The sequence below is a fragment of the Homo sapiens genome, chromosome 15 (genome assembly GCF_000001405.40).
Source record: "Homo sapiens chromosome 15, GRCh38.p14 Primary Assembly".
NCBI lineage: Eukaryota > Metazoa > Chordata > Mammalia > Primates > Hominidae > Homo > Homo sapiens.
The window spans coordinates 84,844,351-84,865,025 of record NC_000015.10 but is presented as its reverse complement, the minus strand read 5'-3'; the positions used below and the strand labels follow the sequence as shown (position 1 = coordinate 84,865,025).

Genomic DNA, 20,675 nt, shown 5'->3' with positions numbered 1-20,675 from the left:
AGTCTAGAGCAAAGCTGCAGGGAAGGGAAGAAGGGAGGTTTTTGAAAAGGGTGGTTGTGGGTTTTGAATTAGACCCCATGTAATGGTCTTTGAAATAAATTCCTTTTTACTTTTAATTGAGCCTGGACTGTGCTCCTTTAAATGCAGCTGCAGTGATAGACTGGGCTACATGAGGTATGTATTAGGGTTGCGAGCAAAATGTTCCGTGTCCAATCTACTTTACAAGATTATTGTGAAAAGCAAAAAAGAATAAAGACAAAGGTGCTTTGTAAACGATCAGCCAAGCACTATGGCTTTGCCTCCTCTGCATGCTTTCACATCCATGCACATGCGTACCCGTGCACCCTCACACCCTCGTACCTGCCAAGTCTGTGACAAGGAAGCTGCCATTTGTCCACTGATACAGCCAGTGTTGGAAGGTCTGGCATTTCTGCATGGCCTCAGAGCTGCCAGATGCTGTCGGAGCCTCAGCACAGCCCCATTCCCGAGAACAGTAAGACTCCAGGGGCTTGCCCAGGTCTTCCTCCAGGGTAGCATATGGGATATTGTTTGCAGGCCGGTAGATCAGATACAGTGGGATGATCCTAAACATAGTTTCACCCTGCAGTAAGCAGGAAGTATGGCCCAGAGAGCTCCTCCCTCCCACCCAATTCTGTATTCTTGGACCTAAAAGAAGGGCCCTTCCAAGAATGTAATTCTCAGCTCCGAGCCCAAAGGACAGCAAAGGAAAGCAGCTCCACCCTGAGTTTGGGAAAGGAAATGGATATTTTTGGCTTCAGAGTCCTGTCCATTCTCTTGGTCAGTGGGATTAGAACCAAACCCTGCTATGGGCATAGGCAGACTGTGTGGCTTGGGTGAGGGATTGAGGCATGTATGTGTCAAACAGAAGGAGCACCTTTAGAGAGGATTCAACCAGATTGTGGCTCTCTGCCAGTGGGACCCCAGGTATGCAAAGGTCAGAGTTCAAGTCTCAAAATGCAAACAATTGCCATTTATAGCTGACTCCTACAAAAATCCACACTGACCCTGCCTGCATACCACGGAAGTGTCCTGATCAGTCTGCCTAGCTTAACCCACCCCATCACCTTCATGGAGTCCCAGAAATTGCTGTGTCCAAACTCTGCAATCAGCAACATCTGCACTAAAGAATGAGGAACCGGGGTGGGCGGGACTCAAGTCCAGAGCAGAGGCTTTTCTCAAGTGGAGAGTAAATGAGGTCTCTATTTCTACATTTTGTGAGGCCACTGAGCTGAGCATGGGGCTGTGAGCCTATTTGCACATGGGCATAACGCAGGATGCCCCTGGGAGGCTGTGAAATCACTGTCTTTGCAGAAGCCCAAGGCAACAGTGCTGCACACTGCACGTCCTCCTCGCTGCGTACTTACTCAGGCACCTCCCCAAAGCCAGGCGCGGCCCGGGCTTCTGCTGCGAAGATTTTGCAGTACTCCCGACTCATGTTCTGGATCTTGCACCCCTGTGGATGAGGGAACCAAATGTGGTGAGCAAAGAAATTCCTCAGTCCTCCACTGTGTCTACCCCTAAGTGAGTGGGCTACCTATTCTGTTAGGGGACTGAGAGGAGGATTCCAGCCCTGGGGGAGGAAGGGCTTACTCCTCCCTGCTCCCCACTCTGCATCTCATTTTCCTCTTTTGTATAACAAGCGGCTTTGGACTTCTTTTCAAACTGAGGTTTTCGAAGTGATTTCTGAACTATTTTTGGGAGTCCTTATGGTATGTGACAGTGTCCCAGAGACCACTCTGTGTAGAGCCAGGAAGACTGCCCACCCCACCCACAGCACCCCCCTTTTATCTCACATATAAACAAGGCTTCCATGAGAGATTATGTATGGGGCAGGGGGAAGGTTTCTGCTGCAAACATAGAGTTTGAAAACTATGGCCCAAGTCGTTTTGAAGCTCTCAAGCTCTCTGAGGCCAAGCATCTGAATTCTGGGCTGCATCTCAGGCTTTCCACAAGGTCCTCCTAGGAGCCTCATAAGGTTGAGACTGAGATGCCTTCTGCCTCGATACTGGGCATCCTAACAGGACCTGGGCTGGGAAAGGGGAGGGGGTGAGAGAATAAAAGAATGGGGTGTGAAGATGGGACATAGTACCTGGATGGTGACGTCGTAGTTTCTGCCCACAAGAGAAGTCTCACTGCTGGGCCCAAACACAAGCAGGCTGGACACCTTGATGATGCACGTGCGGCCCGACTCGAAGATGGGTTCCAGCCCGTAGATGACCTTGGCCTGGGAGGCCTTCCGAAGGCCACACCCATATCCACCCCCTCGGAGCTCCTCGCTTACCAGTCGCCCAAAGAGCTTGTCCCCCCAGCAGCCAGAGTCAGCCAGACCCTTAGCAAACACCATAGGGGTCATCTCAATCTCTTCTCCAACTGAAGGGGAACAGGAGAAATGTGGGAGACCAGGAGCTCCTGTCTCACCAATGTGGGGCTCACAGGGAAGGAAAAGGCCAGAAGAGCCTCCCACCCTGCCAACCTGCTGGGCTCACTTTCCGTCCACGCCTGCTCTTTGGGCACATTAAGTCCCCACCAGACTATGAGCTCCTTGGGGCAGAAACTCTATTTGATTCAACCCCTGCCATCTAGCGGTACCCATGTGGTATCCATCACATAACCCCTGCCTTCCACAAATGCGTCCTAAGCACTGTCCAAACACAGTGCTCAGGATGTGTTTGTGGAAGGCAGGGGTTTTCTGTGGCAACAATAATCAATACAGAATACCAGAATTACTTTGTTTTGGAATTCGTTGTTTTGATCAGATGAATACATGACTCCATTTCAACCAACACGTTTGACTGAAACAAAAAGTTTGCAGGACCAATCCAGCAGCAATGAGCACCCCTAATGCTCAAATTGTGACCGCTAAATATAATTTCCCATTAAAGGGAAACCAGAGCTTTCTAAAGAAATGGTTGATTCCAGGTCTAGGCAGAAAGTGTACAGCAAGGACCTGAAATATCGTGTGAATCCAGAAAGCAAGAGAGCTAGCAAAAGCTATTAGAGACTTGGCAGAAGGACACAGGGGCCAACCTGAAGGGGCTCCCTTGGGCCAAAAAGGAAACAATCTTGGCAACAAAAATAATTACTGCAACATATTGAACATATCAAATATGTTAAAAATCCATGTATTCATAGTTGCAACAACAAAAAAAAGAATCCAATCTCCTCCCTCAAAAAATAAACCTCACTGGTCACCTATGGAAAACGGTAGGGTAGGGCACCAACTCGTTATTCTAAATTCTAGTAACTAAAGGGAAAAGAGCAAGTATTTATCCTTCATTTCCTGTTGGAACTTAACGTATTGGGATAACCAAATAATCATCCCTTTTTTACAGAAAAAAATCAGCTAATGAATGAAGAAGAAAAGACCAAATTAAACTATCTCCATGTTGCAACTGCTAATGAAATAATAGATTTAGGCAATAATCAGTGACTGCCAAAACCCCTAGATAACAATAGGGTTTGTATCAGATTGTTTTTAACTTTAAAAGGGGATGGATCACACAGATGCACCTGAATGAACCCAGTGACCAACCTTAACATTACTAAAAGTGAAACAATCTGACAGTATGTGCCTCCAGATAGGATGCAAAAGGTATACACAGCACCTGTGAGTTATTCTTGCCCCTCCTCCAAAAAAAAAAATCACACCTGAATCTGACCAAACCTCTAAATCTGATTACCAATTTGGAAGAAGCATTTAACATGTTAAATGGGAACACAATCAACAAAATCCAGAATGTTAGAAATTCTATACCAGTGACTTTAACAAACATATGGCAAAGGAAGAAAACAAATAAAGTAGGAGGAACTGTTAAATATTAAGAGAGACTTGGGAGCTGCATCAGCCAAAAGCAATGAGTGGTTCCTGATTCAAATAAACCAACGCATATGAGACAGTTGGGGAAATCTGACTGGATGTTTGATGATATTAAATAATTATTACTTAGTTTTGAGGTTGAGGTTTTATTTGATATTGATTAAATTTTATTTGATTACTAAACAAAAGTCACTAATTGGCACTTTGGGAGGCCAAGGCAGGTGGATCCCTTGAGGTCAGGAGGTCGAGACCAGACCTGCCAACATAGTGAAACCCATCTCTACTAAAAATACAAAAACGAGCTGGGCATGGTGGTGCATGCCTGTAATCCCAGGTACTGGGGAGGCTGAGGCACGAGAATTGCTTGAACCCAGGAAGCGGAGGTTGCAGTGAGCCAAGATCACACCACTGCACTCCAGCCTGGGCAACAGAGTGAGACTCCATCTCAAAACAAAGTCACTAGTTGGATGAATGAGTGATTGAAAGAGTGAGAGAATGAAGGAATTAATGCATTTGTTAGCAAATACAGCTCCAAACATCTTTTTATCACTGGCTGCCTTCACAGTCCCAAGCCTTAGCCTGTCTCTTGTAGGAGCAGTACGTGCCCATCCCTATTTGAGCCCTTCAAATGTGTATCAAACTTTGAAGGTATTTCATGATCACCAGGGGGCCTGCTGAAAACGCAATATTCCTAGGTCCCTCCTAGGTCATTAAAGATGTCTGCAGTGCAGCAGGGACCAGGAAACTGCATTTCTAGCAGGTTCCCTGTGTGAATCTAATACCAGGGTCCACAGAGCACTGTGAGAAACCCTGGGTAGGAGCTGGCAGGATAAGACATGCCCTGGTGGCCGGTTCTGCCCTGGATCAAAGACTCTGACATGGGCAAAGGGCACAAGGGTGAACTAACTCCTGTGCAGTGGCCCCCTTGGTCACTTCTTCCCCCATAATCTTCTGATACAGCAGTCCTCCTCCATCATCTCCCAAGCCATATCCTAAACTAAGAGGCAAAGAGGAGCAGTATGTGGATTGGGACCAGATTCCAAGCCCTTAAAGAGGGTCCTCCCTGCAGATGGCAGGGGTAGGACCACCCCGCCTTCCCCAGGGGGGAACCATACCTTCACCTTCTTCTCTGGAGATGAATCCTGACAACACTAGATACAGAAAAAGAAGAAAGCAGTGCCTTCAGGCTGCTGTGCCAAGAGAGTGCCTTCTCTCAAAGATGACTGCTGCCCACCCACCAGGAGCCAGGCCAGGCTGAGACCCCGGGCCGCGGGGCACACTCACCCTCAGGGCTGAGGCAGAAGTCGGTGGAGGCCGAGCCGTGCTCATTGTGGATGGTGCACCGATACACACCGCAGTCTACGGGGGAGGCCTGCACGATGGCCAAGGCCGCCGGCCCCTCATCCCCTGCGCTGCAGAGTGGAGACCCTACTCGTGAGGGCCATGGCATGGGGGCAGACTGTGGTCCTAAGCGTCCTTGGACCCCACTCTCAGAGGCTGCTGTGAACCCCAGCTCTGAGAGCTTTGGGGAAGCAGCGCGATTCCAGGGCCAAGAGCTGGTCCTGAAGCCCACAGGTCTGGTTTGCAGTCCTGACAATTACTAGCTGTGTGGCTTTGGACAAGTGGCTTAAAGAATGCTGAGCCTCCATTTTCTCATCTCTACTATGGGAATAAAAGGACCTCCCCTGGTTATTGTGAGGATTAATGAGGCGATAGGTTCAAAGCACTAGGACAGTGCCCAACGGTATTACTGCAATCAGGGAGCCAGGTCAGGTGGCAGTGGTGTCGTTGGCTTACCTCCTGCCCACCTCGCCCACTGGGCGCTGATCCTTGGCCCATGTCAAGACTGAGTCACTAAGAATGTTGAAAAACTGGCACCACAGCTTCAGGCTACCGGAGGCATCAGGAAACTGCTCCACCCGAATCTTCCGGATCACCTGTGGGGCTGAGAGCAGGGCCCAGTCAAGAGGGGAACACCACCTCTCCTCTGGCCATATCCTTGCTCTCCTGGGTGTCCTTGGTGGAAAAGGCTGGGAGAAAACAGGATTCAAGTCTCCACACAGACCTACCACTCACAGCCCCCCGGTGCCTCCTGCCTATATCTCAGGCTTCTGCCCTGACCCCCAAAGCACACATCTCAGCTAGAGAGAAGCCCCTACTCCACCTTGACCCCAGGCTGGGAGGGGCTCCCAGCTGAGGACGCAGACAGCAGTTGAGACAGGAACTTCAGTTTGCATTCTAGGTCCCTAACTCTGGAAGCCTGCATTTGAATCCTGTCCCCACCACTCTGTAATCATGCGACATCTCTGTAAAGGGGGACTGAATGGTGATGATGGAGAGCTAGAACGCTACTAAAGCCAGGCCCTGTGCTAAGCACTTCATCTATTCCATCCCATTTAAGCCTCATGCCATTGCAAAGGCGGTACTGTTATCTCCACTCTGTGGAGTGGCAGAATCAAAACAAGAACCAGGCCTTAAAGGCTGTGAGAGAAGGGTACCTTTACCAAGGTAATTTATGAATCCCGAGGAGGGATATGCTATCTGTCATGGGGTAGTGCTGTTAGCAGCAGCAGCAGTGTGCTTTCTGTGGCCCTGTCCTGTGAAGCCATCCCTCTCCCTCCCCACTGCTCACCTTTCAGCAGGTCTTTGGCTTTCCTGGGCTTGGCCAGTGTCTCCTGCTTGCCTTCATCCAGGGCCACCTCTGTGTCCAGACCGCCGGCCTTGGGGCTGGGGCCCAGGTCTCCTGCCGCCAGCTCCTCCTCTGCCCGAGGCACCTCCAGCATGCTCGCCTTTCTGCCCTGCGTAGGGGAGCGTCTCTCCCGCCCTGGAGTCCCTGGGGACCCAGGCACCAGGCTTTTCCTGGGCCCCCGGGGGGAAACCGTGGGGCTCTCCCTTTCTTCAGGTGTGGTTGCCTCCCCGTCTCCTGCTGCTCTGACCTTAGGGAGAAATCTCTTCCTCCGGGCCCCTAGAGCCAGTTCCTCAGGTGTAGCTGCCGGGAGACCTGTCAGAGCCTCCCCTGGGAACTTCTCCTCTTGGGAGGGCTCCTGGGCTATGCTCTCTGCTGAGGGCCCCTGTCCAGGGGCTGCCTGCCCACCCGCCTCCCCCAGTCGACCAGCCATGCTGCTCTCCTGAGAGGCCCCCAGGAGGCCAGGCCCCTCAGGGGAAACCTCTCCTTCACCCTCACTGGCTCCTTCTGAGGCCAGCCCAGGGTCCTCCTCGTCTACCACAATGGCAGGGACAGTGAGGGAGCTGGGACCAGGACCCCAGGAGCCTCGGGCAGCAGCAAGGGCCTGGCGGCCAGCCTGCACCTCACGGTCCAGGAGGCCGGTGAGGCGGCGGGAGGTACAGGGGCTCAGCAGCAGGGTCTGTGCACTCTGCACCAGGTGGTTGTTCTCCACACGCTCCAGGATGCGCCTCGATGTCCGGGGACTAAGCCCAGCCACTTCCACAGTGGGTGTCAGAGTGGCTGAGGGCACCAGACCTCCGGTGGCTGCCCCCACCTGGGACTCTCCCCCTGCTCCACTTGTCTCTGTGCTGGACAGCTTCAGCAGCAGAAGCAGGTAGTTCTTCAGGGAATCTATGAGGCCAGGGTCACAGCTCCGGGGACCTGGGGTCCGCCCCTCCACATCTGGTACCTGGGCGCAGGCCCCCTCACTGCTGGTGGCCATGGTTTCTGGTGGGTGACTCTGAGTGGGGGTCCCCAGCCCCAGGTGCAGTGTTGGGGCAGAACTCATCAGGACCTGATCCTCAGAGGGCAGGAAGGTGGCTGTGCTCCCGTGCTGAGAAGTCGGGGTGCTACACGGCCCCGCCTTTGGGCTAGCTGTCAGCCCAGTTCCAGGAAGAGAAGGCATCGTGGGTACCTCCTGGCTCAGGCCAGCTAGAGGACAGCCACCCTGATCCATACACGGCACTCCCCCTGGCCGCTCCTCCTTGGGGCACTGGAACGGGCTGTCCTCCTGCTTGGCCTCGACTGGGCCTGATGACTGTGGCCCTCGGCATCTCTCTCCTCCCACCTGCTCCACACTCCCCTCATGGGGCGGCTGTGCTGGGAGCATGAGGTTCCCTGACAGGGGACCCAGCACAGTTTGCTCATGGTTCCTGGAGGCTGTTACTACTGCCTCCTCAGATCTGGGCAGGCAACCAGGTTTTTTTGGGAAACAAGACCCTTCTGGGGTCTGTACAAAACATTCAATATTCAGAGGAGCTCTAGGACCCGCTGTAGGTGGGAGTTTGGGGGTTCTGGATGGTGGGCCGAGGCTGGTTGCCACCTCTTGCTCAGACTGACCTTCCATGGCTGTGGGCGCGCTCCCCTCTGACTGCGTCCCCTTCTCTCCCTGCATCCCCTTCTCTCCCTGCATCCTTCTGTCTTCCTGTGTGCCCTTATCTGCCTGGGCCTTCCTGTCTTCCTGTATCTTCTCACCTGCCTGTGTTGTTTCTAGCTGTGTCTCTGCCCTTCCCTGTGTCATCATGCCCTTCTGTGCACTCCTGTCTGACTGTGGCCTCTTGCTTTCTTGTGTCCCAGCATCCACCTGCGTCTTCCTATCTGCACGTGTCCTCTGGGCTGTCTGTGTTCCATCTCCCCTGGTCCTTCCATCCACTTGTATCTTCCCATCTGCCTGCACATTCTTCTTGCTTCCAGTTCTCTGGTTAGCAGATGTTCTCCCATCCTCCTGGGTTTCCATATCCATGGGTTCAATGATACCTTGACTTCCGGAAGTGCTAACCCCAATGGAGGCTACATCAGAGCTGCTGCTGGCCGACATGGTAGGAGCCGTGGTTGTCTGGCATTCCAGGACCTGAAAACAGAGGGACAAAAGCAAGGATTTAACTACATGGACATTCAGATCTCTTTCCAGTCTGGCATCCCAGTCTCCTCGGACCTCATCTACAACTGCTCTGATGGGAATCTTGCCTCCTGGTTTCTCAGGCCTGCTGGAAGTTGGGAGGCAAAGACATGTGACAAATGCCCAAAGCCCCATCCATGCCCACTCACCCTAATCTCTGATCTCAGAATCTGGACTGGGGAATATCTAGCACCCAGACCCAGCTCTGGCCCTTTCCACCTCTTCCTGAAGAAATCCTGCCTTTCCTGAAAGACCTTGCTCATGGGTTATTCCACCCCTCACCCCTACCATATGAAGGAGACTGTCCTCTCCCCAGGGCTCCCAGAGCAGTCCTTCTCCTGTGGCACTAATTGCCTTGGATAGAATTATGGGTGAAGTGAGAGAGTGCCAAAGGGTGTCCCAATAATGGCCTCAGTGACAGCATCCACCAGTAACATTGAGTGAGTGATAATAATGGATGCCATCCAAGCAGAGAGGATTAAAGTAATTCTGAATGGCATCTATGCCAGGAAATTAATGAAACATTATAATGTTACCCTTTTGAACATCTACTTGCAAAGCACTATGCTAGGCCCCTGTATATGATATTACCCCACTTACTCCTCATACAGTATGAATACTTAGGAGAATCAGCCCCATTCTAGAGATAACAATGACAAGAAGGCATGTGATCTGTCCACCGTCAGGTAGTCAGTAAGTGGCAGAGTTCAGATTCGCAGCCGGGTGTATCTCACTCCAAATCCCATGCTCTTTGTTGTTATACCATAACGCCACCTACTTTTAAAGGACTTCCTGTCAAACATGGTGGCGTACAACAGTGATTTCCCTTTTTTCCTCCAAGATATCATCAAAACCAACAAAGTAAACATGAAATAAACAAAGCAAACTCCTTTGTTAGTGAAACTGGAGGCAAATAAAACCTACAGTCTCAAAAAACAAACAAAAGGATAACAGCTGCCAAAAGCCAACAGATGCAGACACTGGGAAGCTGAGGAGGAGCAAAGTGATATGGGGAAATAAACAGGGCCACAGCTCAGCGGGAGGAGAGTGGAGCTGTTCAGCAGGTCTCAAGACGCCGGCAAAATCACGGCTACTGTAGACAAAGGTCACCCCAAGGTTATAAACCCGTAAGTCCACGTGCAACAAGAGCTGCAGGGTCATGGAGGCCTGGGTGGAAACTGGCCGAAGACACGGCAGATGAGCAGAGCAGACAAGGAGAGGAGATGGAATGGAGGCAGATCTCAGAAAACGCTGGCAGCTACACTCCTGAAGAAACCTCCGGAAAATTGCTAAGCCGAGAACATTGTGTTTTAGCATACAAAGACTAAAGGAATATTGTTCCCACAAGCCCTGCTTGAGGAAATCACCAGGGAACAAATGTAGTCAACCAAAAGATGATTGAGAAAACAACAGCAAAAGAGCTGACGGTAAGCACTGAACATATTTCACTTACATTAACATATATATTAATGCATATTAACATATAACTGTAGAAGCAAGACTAAAATCAAGTGGGGTTTAGAATGGCAAATCAGAATGTCAATGTTCTATGCCCTGACGATACAGAAACAACACAGCCAGCACGAAAGTGGAAAGGGGAAGAAACTTCCTTGACTGTGTCACCTGTAAGAGCCAGGCACCAAAGACATTACTCAAAGCTGAAAAACCAAGTAACAGAAATAGAGGATATTTACCTAAATAAAGATAATCACTTAGAAATCAAACTTTAGGCCAATATGAGATAGAAAATGAATGAAGGCCAGGCACAGTGGCTCAAACCTGTAATCTCAGCACTTTGGGAGGCCGAGGCAGGCAGATCATCTGAGGTCAGGAGTTTGAGACCACTCTGGCTAACATAGTAAAACCCCATTTCTACTAAAAATACAAAAAATTAGCCAGGCGTGGTGGTGCGCATCTGTAATCTTAGCTACTCTGAGGCTGAGGCAAGAGAATCGCTTGAACCCGGGGGCGGAGGTTGCAGTGAGCCAAGATCGTGCCAGTGGACTCCAGCTTGGGCAACAAGAGTGAAACTCTGGCTCAAAAAAAGATGAATGAAGAAAATGCAGAGAAGAAGTGAAAACACTGTATCATTTTTCATCATTAAAAATTAGTAGAAACTGAGTGAACAGATGAAATAATTAATGGTATTATATAAAACTGAAATTATAACATATAAATATTTTTAAATATCAGAACCACACACAAAATCAAAGGAATAAGATCACAAAATGAAAGACTTTTAAATATACATAATTAAAATATATGTAAATTAAGTGTAGAATTTAAAGTTACTTTACTAAATTAGGAATTTTCTGTTTTTCAAATTTTAAATTTTTAAATTTATTTTATATTTTAAAATTAGAGATGGGGTCTTGCCATGTTGGCCAGGGTAGTCTCAAACTCCTGGCCTCAAGCAATGCTCCCACCTCAGCCTCCTAAAGAGCTAGGATTATAGGTGTGAGCTACTGCACCCAGCCTAAATTCAGAATTTTGAATGAATGTTATCGATGTGGGAAACATTAGAGTTTGGCGAATATCAGGAATAAGTCTGACTGAAGGATTTTTTTTTTTTTTGAGACAGGTTCTTGCCATCTTGCCCAGACTGGCATGCAGTGGCTATTTATAGGCAAGATCATAGCCTCAACCTATTGGGCTCAAGTGATCCTCCCACCTCAGCCTCCCAAATAGCTGGGACTACAGGCTGACTGAAGAATCTTTTTTTTTTCTTTTGAGACGGAGTCTCGCTCTGTCACCCAGGCTGGAGCGCACTGGCATGATCTTGGCTGACTGGAACCTCTACCTCTCAGGTTCAAGCAATTCTCCTGCCTTAGCCTCCCGAGTAGCTGGGATTACAGGCATGTGCCACCACGCCCAGCTAATTTTTGTATTTTTTAGTAGAGATGGGGTTTCACTATGTTGGCCAGGCTGGTCTTGAACTCCTGGCCTCAAATGATCTACCCACCTCGGCCTCCAGAAGTGCTGGAATTATAGGCATGAGTCACTGCACCCGGCCTAACTGAAGAATCTTAATAAAAATGCTCTTCCAACTTCTCTGACAACCGGATATTAACAGACAAAACTGCCTTGGTGCCAAGAAACAGCAATTAGTAATATATTAGAGCCTCTTTTTTATCTTTTGATATTCTAGGATTAGAAAATGTTAATAAAGACATAAGATCTATAAATCTACAAAGAAGGTGCAGACTGTGCATACAAGACTGTTGCTGTTCACAAGACTCACGGAACTAGAACTTCTTGATTAAAGCTACCTTCACTCCTAACGCACTCTCAGCCAGATCAATCCCTCAGTTCTATTGAAACTACTTCTTCATTATCTCAATATCCATTTCCTTCATCTCCACTGCCAACTGCCTAATCGGATCTGCCAACAATTCTGTCTTGCCTGGACTACTGTAAAGCCTCCTAATTGGTATCCATGACTCTAGTCTTTGCCTCTGCTAAACTCTTTTCCTCACTGCAGCCCAAATGACCTTTCCAAAACACAAACCTGACTGAAACACTCCCCTCTTAAAAAACCTTTCAATGGCTTATCATCACTGACAGGATAAAGCCTAAAAGACCTAGCTTCAAAGAGCAAAAAGTTTAATCACACAGTAGCCCCTTCTTATTCACGGTTTCGCTTTCCGTGGTTTCAGTTAACTGTGGCCAATCTTGGTCTGAAAATATTAAATGAAAAATTCCAGAAATAAACAATTGATAAATTTTATAGGTCATTTCAAAGAGGCTGCAAAACCAAGAGCTCTTAACGCTGTGAGCAAAGATGGAAGTTCTCTCTAGGATGCCATGGCACTCGATGGTGGTATGTTTTCCTGGGGAGATATAAGACATAGGTGTTATATGACATAGTAATCTATGATTGTTGCCATGGGAGAGTTTTAAAGATTAACCAAAGTAAAAAGAAAAAACAAATTGTAAACTTTGCACTGTTCTGAGCAGCATGATAAAATCTCATGCCACCCCACCTGGGATGTGAAACAGCCCTTCGTGCAGCATAGCCACCAGGTATACACTAGGTTGCCCGTTACCCATTAAGTAGCTGTCTTGGTTACCAGATCAACTGTCCTGGTATCTCAGGGCTTGCGTGCAAGTAACCATTATTTTACTTAATAAATGGCCCCAAAGCACAAGAGTAGTGATACTGGCATATTACTATAGTTGTTCTATTTTATGATTATTGTTGTTAATCTCTTACGGTGCCTAATTTATAAACTAAACTTCATAATAGGTGTGTATGTATAGGACAAAACACAATATATATAGGGTTTGGTACTATCTGCAGTGTCAGGCATCCGCTGGGGATCTGGGAAAGTATCTTCTGTGGATAAGGGGGACTGCTGTACTCTCTTGGCCAGGGTTACAGGCATCGCACAGCCTCTACAGACGGCAATTTGGCATTATCTATTAAAACTAAAAATATTTATACTCTTTAACCCAAAAATTCCATTCCTAGGAATTAATCGTACAGGTATACTTTCATGTGCAGATGGACTTATATACAAGGATATATACTGCAGCACTGTTTAAATTGCAATAGACTAGAAATCACCTAAATTCCAACAATACAGGATTGATCCAATGAATTATGGTATATCCATATTCCAAATAAATAAAACAAACATCCAAATAAAAAAGCAAGGTAAAGGATAGAAAGTATAATATGCAACCTTTGTGTGGAAAATACACAGACACACACACACGTATTTTCAAATGTAAAGAAAATAGCTCTGGAAGGATGCCCAAAGAACCTGCTTTGGTAACTGCCTTCAGGGAGAGGACCTGAGCAGTGGGGATAGGGAAGTGGGGAGACTTAATATTCTCTATGTATCTTTTGTACTTTTTGAATTTTATACCTTGTGCATGTGACATACAGTTAACAAAAATACAATTAAAAATGAAAATATATAAGGAAATCAACCCTTGTGTGATCAGTGAGGCCCGTCCCTCAGCAAGAATCCCAGATCTGTTTCTCCAGGTTCATCTCTTGGGTCCCTCCGCCCAACACTAACTTAACTGTACTGACAACTGTGCTATTTAGTAACTCTTTTATGTACTTTTTTCTGTACCAGACATTCTCACCTACTCCTTGACCACCTGAAGGACTCCTTCTCATCCTTGAAGACCTCACTCAAGTTTCTTTTCTTCTTTAAAGACTTCCTGAGTTCCCTCCTCTACCCCAAAAAAGTTAGTGGCCCCCATAGCAAATTTACTAATTCCATCATTATACCCCCATTCTGTGTGGTATTTATTTCATGCATATGTCATCTGCTAATCTGTGAATTCTTCCCCTTTGAAGAGGGCCCAGTACAGGCCTGGGAGTTGGAAATCAATAAATACATGGTGGATGACTGAATATTCTCTGTACACTTCTACAAGGGCTGACCCCTCTAACTAAACATTATGACAGAGGGTGTGTGTGTGTGTGTGTGTGTGTGTGTGTGTGTGTATATCTGGAACTGTGTAAAGATATGAGAAGGAATGTCATATGTTTCTTAAAAATAAAAATGGTGTGAGCAGAATGAACCTAGTTGGCTCTATGTAAGCTTTTTTACTACAAGGGATATTAGGAGGTTTAATTTGCCATGCTGTCTTTTTCCCTCTTCCCTCATAAATTCTCAGATATTAAGGACTCAGTGTATGGCCAGATATGGTTGCTCATGTCTAGAATCCCAGTGCTTTGGGAAGCCATTGTAGGAGAATTGCTTGAGGCCCAAAGTTCAAAACCAGCCTGGCAACACAGCAAGACCCTGTCTCTACAAAAAAAAAACAAAATATTTAGCCAGGTGTGGTGGCATATGCCTGTAGTCCTAGCTACTCTGGAGGCTGAGGTGGGAGAATTGCTTGAGCCCAGGAGTTCGAGGCTGCAGTAAGCTATGATTATGACACTTGCACTCCAGCCTGGGCAATAGAGTAAGACCCTGTCTCTTAAAATAAAAACATAAAAATAAAAATAAAAAGTTTTATTCACCTTTGCATTCTTCACAGTACCAAACACATAAGGGGTTCACAGGAATGAACAACTGAATGAAAAATAGTATGGTTTATAACCCTCTAAGGGGGCATGGCCCTGGAATGCTGGTTTGGAAGAGCAAGGGACAAAACCAGGACCTTAACAGGGATGGGGCAGGGCAGTCATTTTTGCATAAGTTTTGGTAGTTTATAATTTTTAAATAACTGCTCTATTTCATCTAAGTTGTTAAATTTATGTGCAGTTTTTCATAGTAGTCTTTTTTTTTTTTCACCCTGTCAATCCTTACAGGGTCTGTAGTGATATCCCCTCTTTCATTCTTAATACTTGTATTTTGTGTCTTCTTTTTTTTTTTTTTCTAAGTCTTGCCAGAAGTTTATTGATATTATTGATCTTTTCAAATAACTAGCTTTGGGTTTATTTTCTCCATAATTTTCCTGTTTTTGGTTTCATTATTTTCTGTTCTTTTCTATCTGTTTGCTTTGGATTTATTTTTCTCTTCTTTTTCTAGTTTTCTAAGGTGGGAACTTAGGTTATTGATATTTCAGATCCTTTTTCTTTTCTAATATAAACATTTTAATGCTATACATTTTCTTCAAGGCACTGATTTAGCAGCATCCAACATTTTGGTATGTTGTATTTTCACTTTCATTCAATTTAAAATGTTTTCTAATTGGCCTTAGGACTTCTTCCTTGGCCCATAAAAGTATGTTCTTTAATTTAAAAGTGTTTAGAAATTTTTCTATTATCTTTCTGTCATTGATTTCTAGTTTAATTTCATTTTGGTCAGAGTACATACTTTGTATTATTTCAATTACTTCACATTTGTTAAGATTTATATTATGGTCCAGGATATAATCTATTTTGGTGAATATTTTATATGCACTTGAAAAGAATGAGTATTCTGTTGTTACACAGAGTATTCTATATATGTCTATTAGATAGTTGGTTGCTGGTGCTGTTCAGTTCTTTTATATCCTTACTGATTTTCTGTCTACTAGTTCTATTGATTACTGAGAGAGAGGAGTGTTAAAGTCTCCAACTATAATTATTGTTTTCTGTATATTTCTACTTTCAGTTCTGTCAGGTTTTGCTTCATGTATTTTGAAGGTATGTTGTTAGGTGCATACACATTTTTTATTGTTATGTCTTCTTGAATTGACCCTTTTATCACTAGATAGTTCACTATTTTTCTCTTAGTAATTTTTTTTTTTTGAGACAGAGTTTTACTCTTGTTGCCCAGGCTGGAGTGCAATGGCGTGATCTCGACTCAACGCAACCTCCACCTCCCGGGTTCAAGTGATTCTCCTGCTTCAGCCTCCCAAGTAGCTGGGATTACAGGCATGCACCACCATGCCTGGCTAATTTTTGTATTTTTAGTAGAGATGGGTTTTCTCCATGTTGGTCAGGCTGGTCTCGAACTCCCGACCTCAGGTGATCTGCCTGCCTTGTCCTCCCAAAGTGCTGGGATTACAGGTGTGAGCCACTGCACCCAGCCAGTAATTTTCTTTCCTCAGAAATCTACTCTGTCTGATATTAATATTGCCATTCCAGCTTTCATCTGATTAGTGTTTGCATGGTATATATTTTTCTATTATTTTACTTGTAACTGACCTATATCACTATATTTGAAATGGATTTCTTATTGACAGCATCAAGTTGGGAAAGTTTTTCTGGTCCTGTCTCACAATCTGTCATTTAATTGATATGCTCAGACCATTTATAGTTAATATAATTATTTATAGGTTTAGATTTTACTCAATAATTTTACTATTTGTTTTCTATTTGTTTCCTGTTTTTCCTTCCTGTGTTTCCCTATTCTTGCCTCCTTTTAGATTAGAACATCTTTTAGTATTCCACTTTAACTTACGTAGTGTGATTTTTACTATATCTCTTTGTATAGTATTTCTGTTGTTGCTCTAGGGCTTACAATATACATACTTAACTCTCCACAGTCTACTTAGAGTCAATATTTTACCACTTCAAGTGCCATACAGTAATCTCACCATCATATAGGTCTCTTTACCCTATGCCCCTTTATGTTGTATTTGTCTTATATATTATATTTGCATACATTAAAAAAACTCCAGCAATGTAATTTTTTTTTTTTACTTTTTACCTTCAAACATATTTTAAAGAAATCAAGATGAAATAATCTATTATATTTACCAGGATATTTACCATTTCCATTGCCCTTCTTTCATTCTTGATGTTTCAAGTTTCCTTCTGGTATTATTTCCTTTCTCTATGAAAAATTTACTTTAGCAATTCTTTTTCTTTTTATTTTTTTTTTTTTGAGATCAAGTCTGGCTTTGTCACCCAGGCTGGAGTACAGTGGTGCAATCTCAGTTCACCACAACCTCTGCCTCCTAGGTTCAAGTGATTCTCTTGCCTCAGCCTCCCCAGTAGCTGGGATTACAGGTGCCCCCCACCACCCCTGGCTAATTTTTTTTGTATTTTTAGTAGAGACAAGGTTTCACCATGTTGGTCAGGCTGGTCTCGAACTCATGACCTCAGGTGATCCACCTGCCTCAGCCTCCCACAGTGCTGGGATTACAGGCGTGAGCCACAGCTCCCAGCCTAGCAATTCTTCTAGAACAGGTCTGCTGACAATGTAGTGTCTTGTTTTTTCCATTATCTGAGAATGTCTTTATTTCACTTTCAATACTTAAAGATATTTTTGCTAAATGTAGAATTATAGGTTGAAAGTTCTTTTTTTTAGCATTAAAAAAAAATGTTGTTCCACTTCCTTTTGGCCTCCATTGTTTCTGATGAGAAATCTATAGTCATTCAAATCATTGCTTCCCTATAAATAATGTATTATGTTTCTCTGGCTACTTCCAAGAGTTTTTCATTGTCTTTACTTTCCAACAGTTTGGCTATGAGGTTTCTGGATGTGGAATTCTATGGGCTTTTCCTGTTTAGGGTTTGCTGAACTTCTTGACTTTTGCCAAATTTTGAAAGTTTTCAGCCATTATTCCTTCAGATATTTTTTTCTGCATCACTGTCTTTCTCTTTCTCCTTCTGATTATCCAGTGACACAAATGTTAGACTTTTTGATACAGCACTCCAAGTCTCTGAGGCTCTGTTCATTGATTTTTCTGATTCCTCTCTCTCTCTCTCTCTCTCTCTCTCTCTCTCTCTCTCTCCCCGTTTCTCCCTCCCTTCCTCTCTCTCTGTGCGTGTATGGGCGTATGTGTTCAGATTGAATAATTTCTATTGCTTTAACTTCAAGTTCACTGTCTTCTCCCTGTCACCTATCACTCTGTTGTTGGGCTCAACCAGTAAGTCTTTTTATTCAGTTATTGTAAATTTCAATTCTAAAATTGATATTTGGGGCTGAGGTGAGTGGATCACCTGAGGTCAGGAGTTCAAGACCAGGCTGGCCAACACAGTGAAACCCCTGTACTAAAAATACAAAATTAGCCAAGTGTAGCGGCACACGTCTGTAATCCCAGCTACTCCCTCAGGAGGCTGAGGCAGGAGAATCTCTTGAACCCAGGAGGTGAAGGTTGCAGTGAACCGAGATCATGCCACTGCAGCGTGCCAGGCAATCCAGCCTGGGCAACAAGTGCAAAACTCTGTCTCAAAAAAATAAAAAATAAAAAATGAATAAAATTGATATTTGGTTCTTCATATCTTTTACCTCTTTTTGTTTGTTTGTTTGTTTGTTTTGAGACAGGGTCTCCCTTTGTCCAGGCTGGAGTTCAGTGGCGTGATCTCAGCTCACTGCACCCTCAACATCCTGGGTTCAAGTGTTCTTCCCACCTCAGCCCTGCAAATAGCTCAGACTACAGACACACACCACTATGCCCAGCTAACTTTTTTGTATTTTTTGTAAAGACAGGGTTTTGCCATGTTCCCCAGCCTAGTCTTTTACCTCTTTGCTGAGACTTTCTATCTTTCCATTTGTTTCCAGAGTATTCACCCTTACTTGCCACATTTTTATAGTAAAGTCAGATGATTTTAAAGTCAGATGATTCTAACATCTGTGTCACTGTGGCATTGGCACTCTTTGATTGTCTTTCCATGCAAGTGGAGATTTTCATGATTTTTCATATGCCATGTAACTTTTATTGTATTTGGACATTTTAAATATTACAAGACTCTGATTCTTGTTTAAATCTTATGGAGAGTATTAACATCTTTGTCTTGGAAGGCAATCTACCTAGTTGTGTTCAGGCTACAAATTCCATTCAGGCCTCTGAGGTTATAGTTTCAATCTCGGTTCCATTTTCCAAGCATTTCCAATGCTGTTTGGGGTTTTTTTATTGTTGTTGTTTTATTTTTGAGACGAAGCTTTACTCTGTCACCCAGGCTGGAGTGCAATGGCATGATCTCAGCTCACTGCAACCTCTGCCTCCCAGGTTCCCGGGTTCAAGCAATTCTCCCACCTCAGCCTCCCGAGTAGGTGGGACTACAGGCATGTGCCACTATGCCTGGCTAATTTTTTCTATTTTTAGTAGAGAAAGTGTTTCACTATTTTGGCCACGCTGGTCTCGAACTCCTGACCTCAAGTGATCTGCCTGCTTCGGCTTCCCAAAGTGCTGGGATTACAGGCATGAGCCACCACACCCGGCCTGCAGTGCTATTTGGATCTGCCCTGTGTGTGTGCCACCCAGTGGCCAGTGTGGGACTTACATGATGGTTCATTAGTGTTTTTATTCTCGAAGTTTTTTATTCTCCCAAGTATTTCATTCTCAAAGTTTTTTATATGCTCTTCAGAATCAGATCCATGCAGGAACAATCTGGGGATGAGCCCAGAAATTTATAAAGAGTTTATAAACCCAGAGGTCATTAATGATTCTCAGAGGTCATTTTCCCAAGCTTTTCCCTTTCCACGGTTTCCCCCATAGGGCCCCCTTTTTCAGTCTTCTGGCCAAATAGCTGGAGCTTCCTTTACCCCTCTCTGCCACATTGTTTCACACATGAGCCTGTGATCTGGACCAAGGAAGAGACCCAGGAGAAAAAAAAAGGAACAGGGACTTGTCCCACTCTTAGGATCACAGCTCCTCTGAATAGAGGGGAAGATTCTCTTCTCTCAAAGTTTTAGGCACCTGTGGCCTCTGTTGCTACCACTGTCACTGCCAAGAAATCTCTTTTCCATTCCTGAAGGCTGATCTAGAGGGCTTCTGGAACTCTCTCTGCCCAAGTTAATGTTTACATCTGGGTTTCAAACAGCATTAAGACCAGGCCAGGAAATGCCAGAAGGGAAAAAAAAAAAAAGTAAACACCGTAGGTTCAGTGGTACTTTGAGTTCTGGTCTTCATCCCCAATCTGTCTGCGACTATTTGCTTTTCAAAGTTGTCAAGTAGGTGTATTATACATTTTGCCTAAATTTTAGGCTGCATTCAGTGGGAGATACAGAATCAAGTGTATTTACTCCATCTTATCCAGAAATAAAACTGCCATAACCAGAATAAATAATATTAGTTATTGTATTTTTCAGCTCTGGAATTCTAGTTGGTTCATTTTCAAGTCTTTTCCACCTTTTTTTTTTTGAGACGGAGTCTCGCTCTGTTGCCCAGGCTGGAGCGCGGTGGCGTGATCCTAGCTCACTGCAACCTCCACCTCTCGGGTTCAAGCGATTCTCCTGCCTCAGCCTACTGAGTAGCTGGGATTACAGATGTGCATCACCACACCCAGCTAAGTTTTGTATTTTTAGTAGAGATGGGGTTTCACCATGTTGGCCAGGCTAGTCTCGAACTCCTGACCTCAGGTGATCCATCTGCCTCAGCCTCCCAAAGTGCTGGGATTACAGGCGTGAACCACTGCGCTCGGCCTTTTCCACTTTTTATAGTTTCTAGGTATTTGGTGAAATTTGCAATCTTGTCTTCTTATCTCCTTCGATATATGAAGGAGGTAAACTAATTTTAATTTTATAATTCATGTCTAATAATTCCAAAAGTTGGAAACCTGTGGGCCAATTTCTTTCTTTTCTTTTGTTTTTTGAGACAGAATCTCACTCTGTCACCGAGGCTGGAGTGCAGTAGCACAATCTCAGTTC

At 45.1% G+C, this 20,675-nt stretch overlaps 1 protein-coding gene and 1 pseudogene across 1 annotated transcript in view, besides 3 other annotated features; one reads left to right on the top strand and one right to left on the bottom strand.

Annotated features, from left to right (window-relative positions):
* ALPK3 (alpha kinase 3) overlaps positions 1 to 20,675 on the bottom strand; it is a 56,124-nt gene that overhangs the window by 8,454 nt on the left and 26,995 nt on the right. The window contains exons 6-12 of the mRNA NM_020778.5: positions 6,471 to 8,634; positions 5,636 to 5,783; positions 5,123 to 5,250; positions 4,954 to 4,989; positions 2,111 to 2,391; positions 1,386 to 1,474; positions 361 to 584 (exon numbers count right to left, since the gene is read on the bottom strand). Of these exons, the coding sequence (NP_065829.4) occupies positions 361 to 584; positions 1,386 to 1,474; positions 2,111 to 2,391; positions 4,954 to 4,989; positions 5,123 to 5,250; positions 5,636 to 5,783; positions 6,471 to 8,634 (3,070 nt within the window). The remainder of the gene's footprint in view (positions 1 to 360; positions 585 to 1,385; positions 1,475 to 2,110; positions 2,392 to 4,953; positions 4,990 to 5,122; positions 5,251 to 5,635; positions 5,784 to 6,470; positions 8,635 to 20,675) is intronic.
* Positions 837 to 1,336: an enhancer, noted in NCBI's record as "H3K4me1 hESC enhancer chr15:85406921-85407420 (GRCh37/hg19 assembly coordinates)". NCBI's record gives its function as "activates a minimal SCP1, AML or CMV promoter by ChIP-STARR-seq in naive H9 embryonic stem cells {active_cell/tissue: H9 hESC(naive)}" and the evidence as "EXISTENCE:reporter gene assay evidence [ECO:0000049][PMID:30033119]".
* Positions 1,337 to 1,838: an enhancer, noted in NCBI's record as "H3K4me1 hESC enhancer chr15:85406419-85406920 (GRCh37/hg19 assembly coordinates)". NCBI's record gives its function as "activates a minimal SCP1, AML or CMV promoter by ChIP-STARR-seq in naive H9 embryonic stem cells {active_cell/tissue: H9 hESC(naive)}" and the evidence as "EXISTENCE:reporter gene assay evidence [ECO:0000049][PMID:30033119]".
* Positions 2,407 to 2,908: an enhancer, noted in NCBI's record as "H3K27ac hESC enhancer chr15:85405349-85405850 (GRCh37/hg19 assembly coordinates)". NCBI's record gives its function as "activates a minimal SCP1, AML or CMV promoter by ChIP-STARR-seq in primed H9 embryonic stem cells {active_cell/tissue: H9 hESC(primed)}" and the evidence as "EXISTENCE:reporter gene assay evidence [ECO:0000049][PMID:30033119]".
* LOC124900361 (uncharacterized) lies at positions 12,411 to 12,528 on the top strand (annotated as a pseudogene).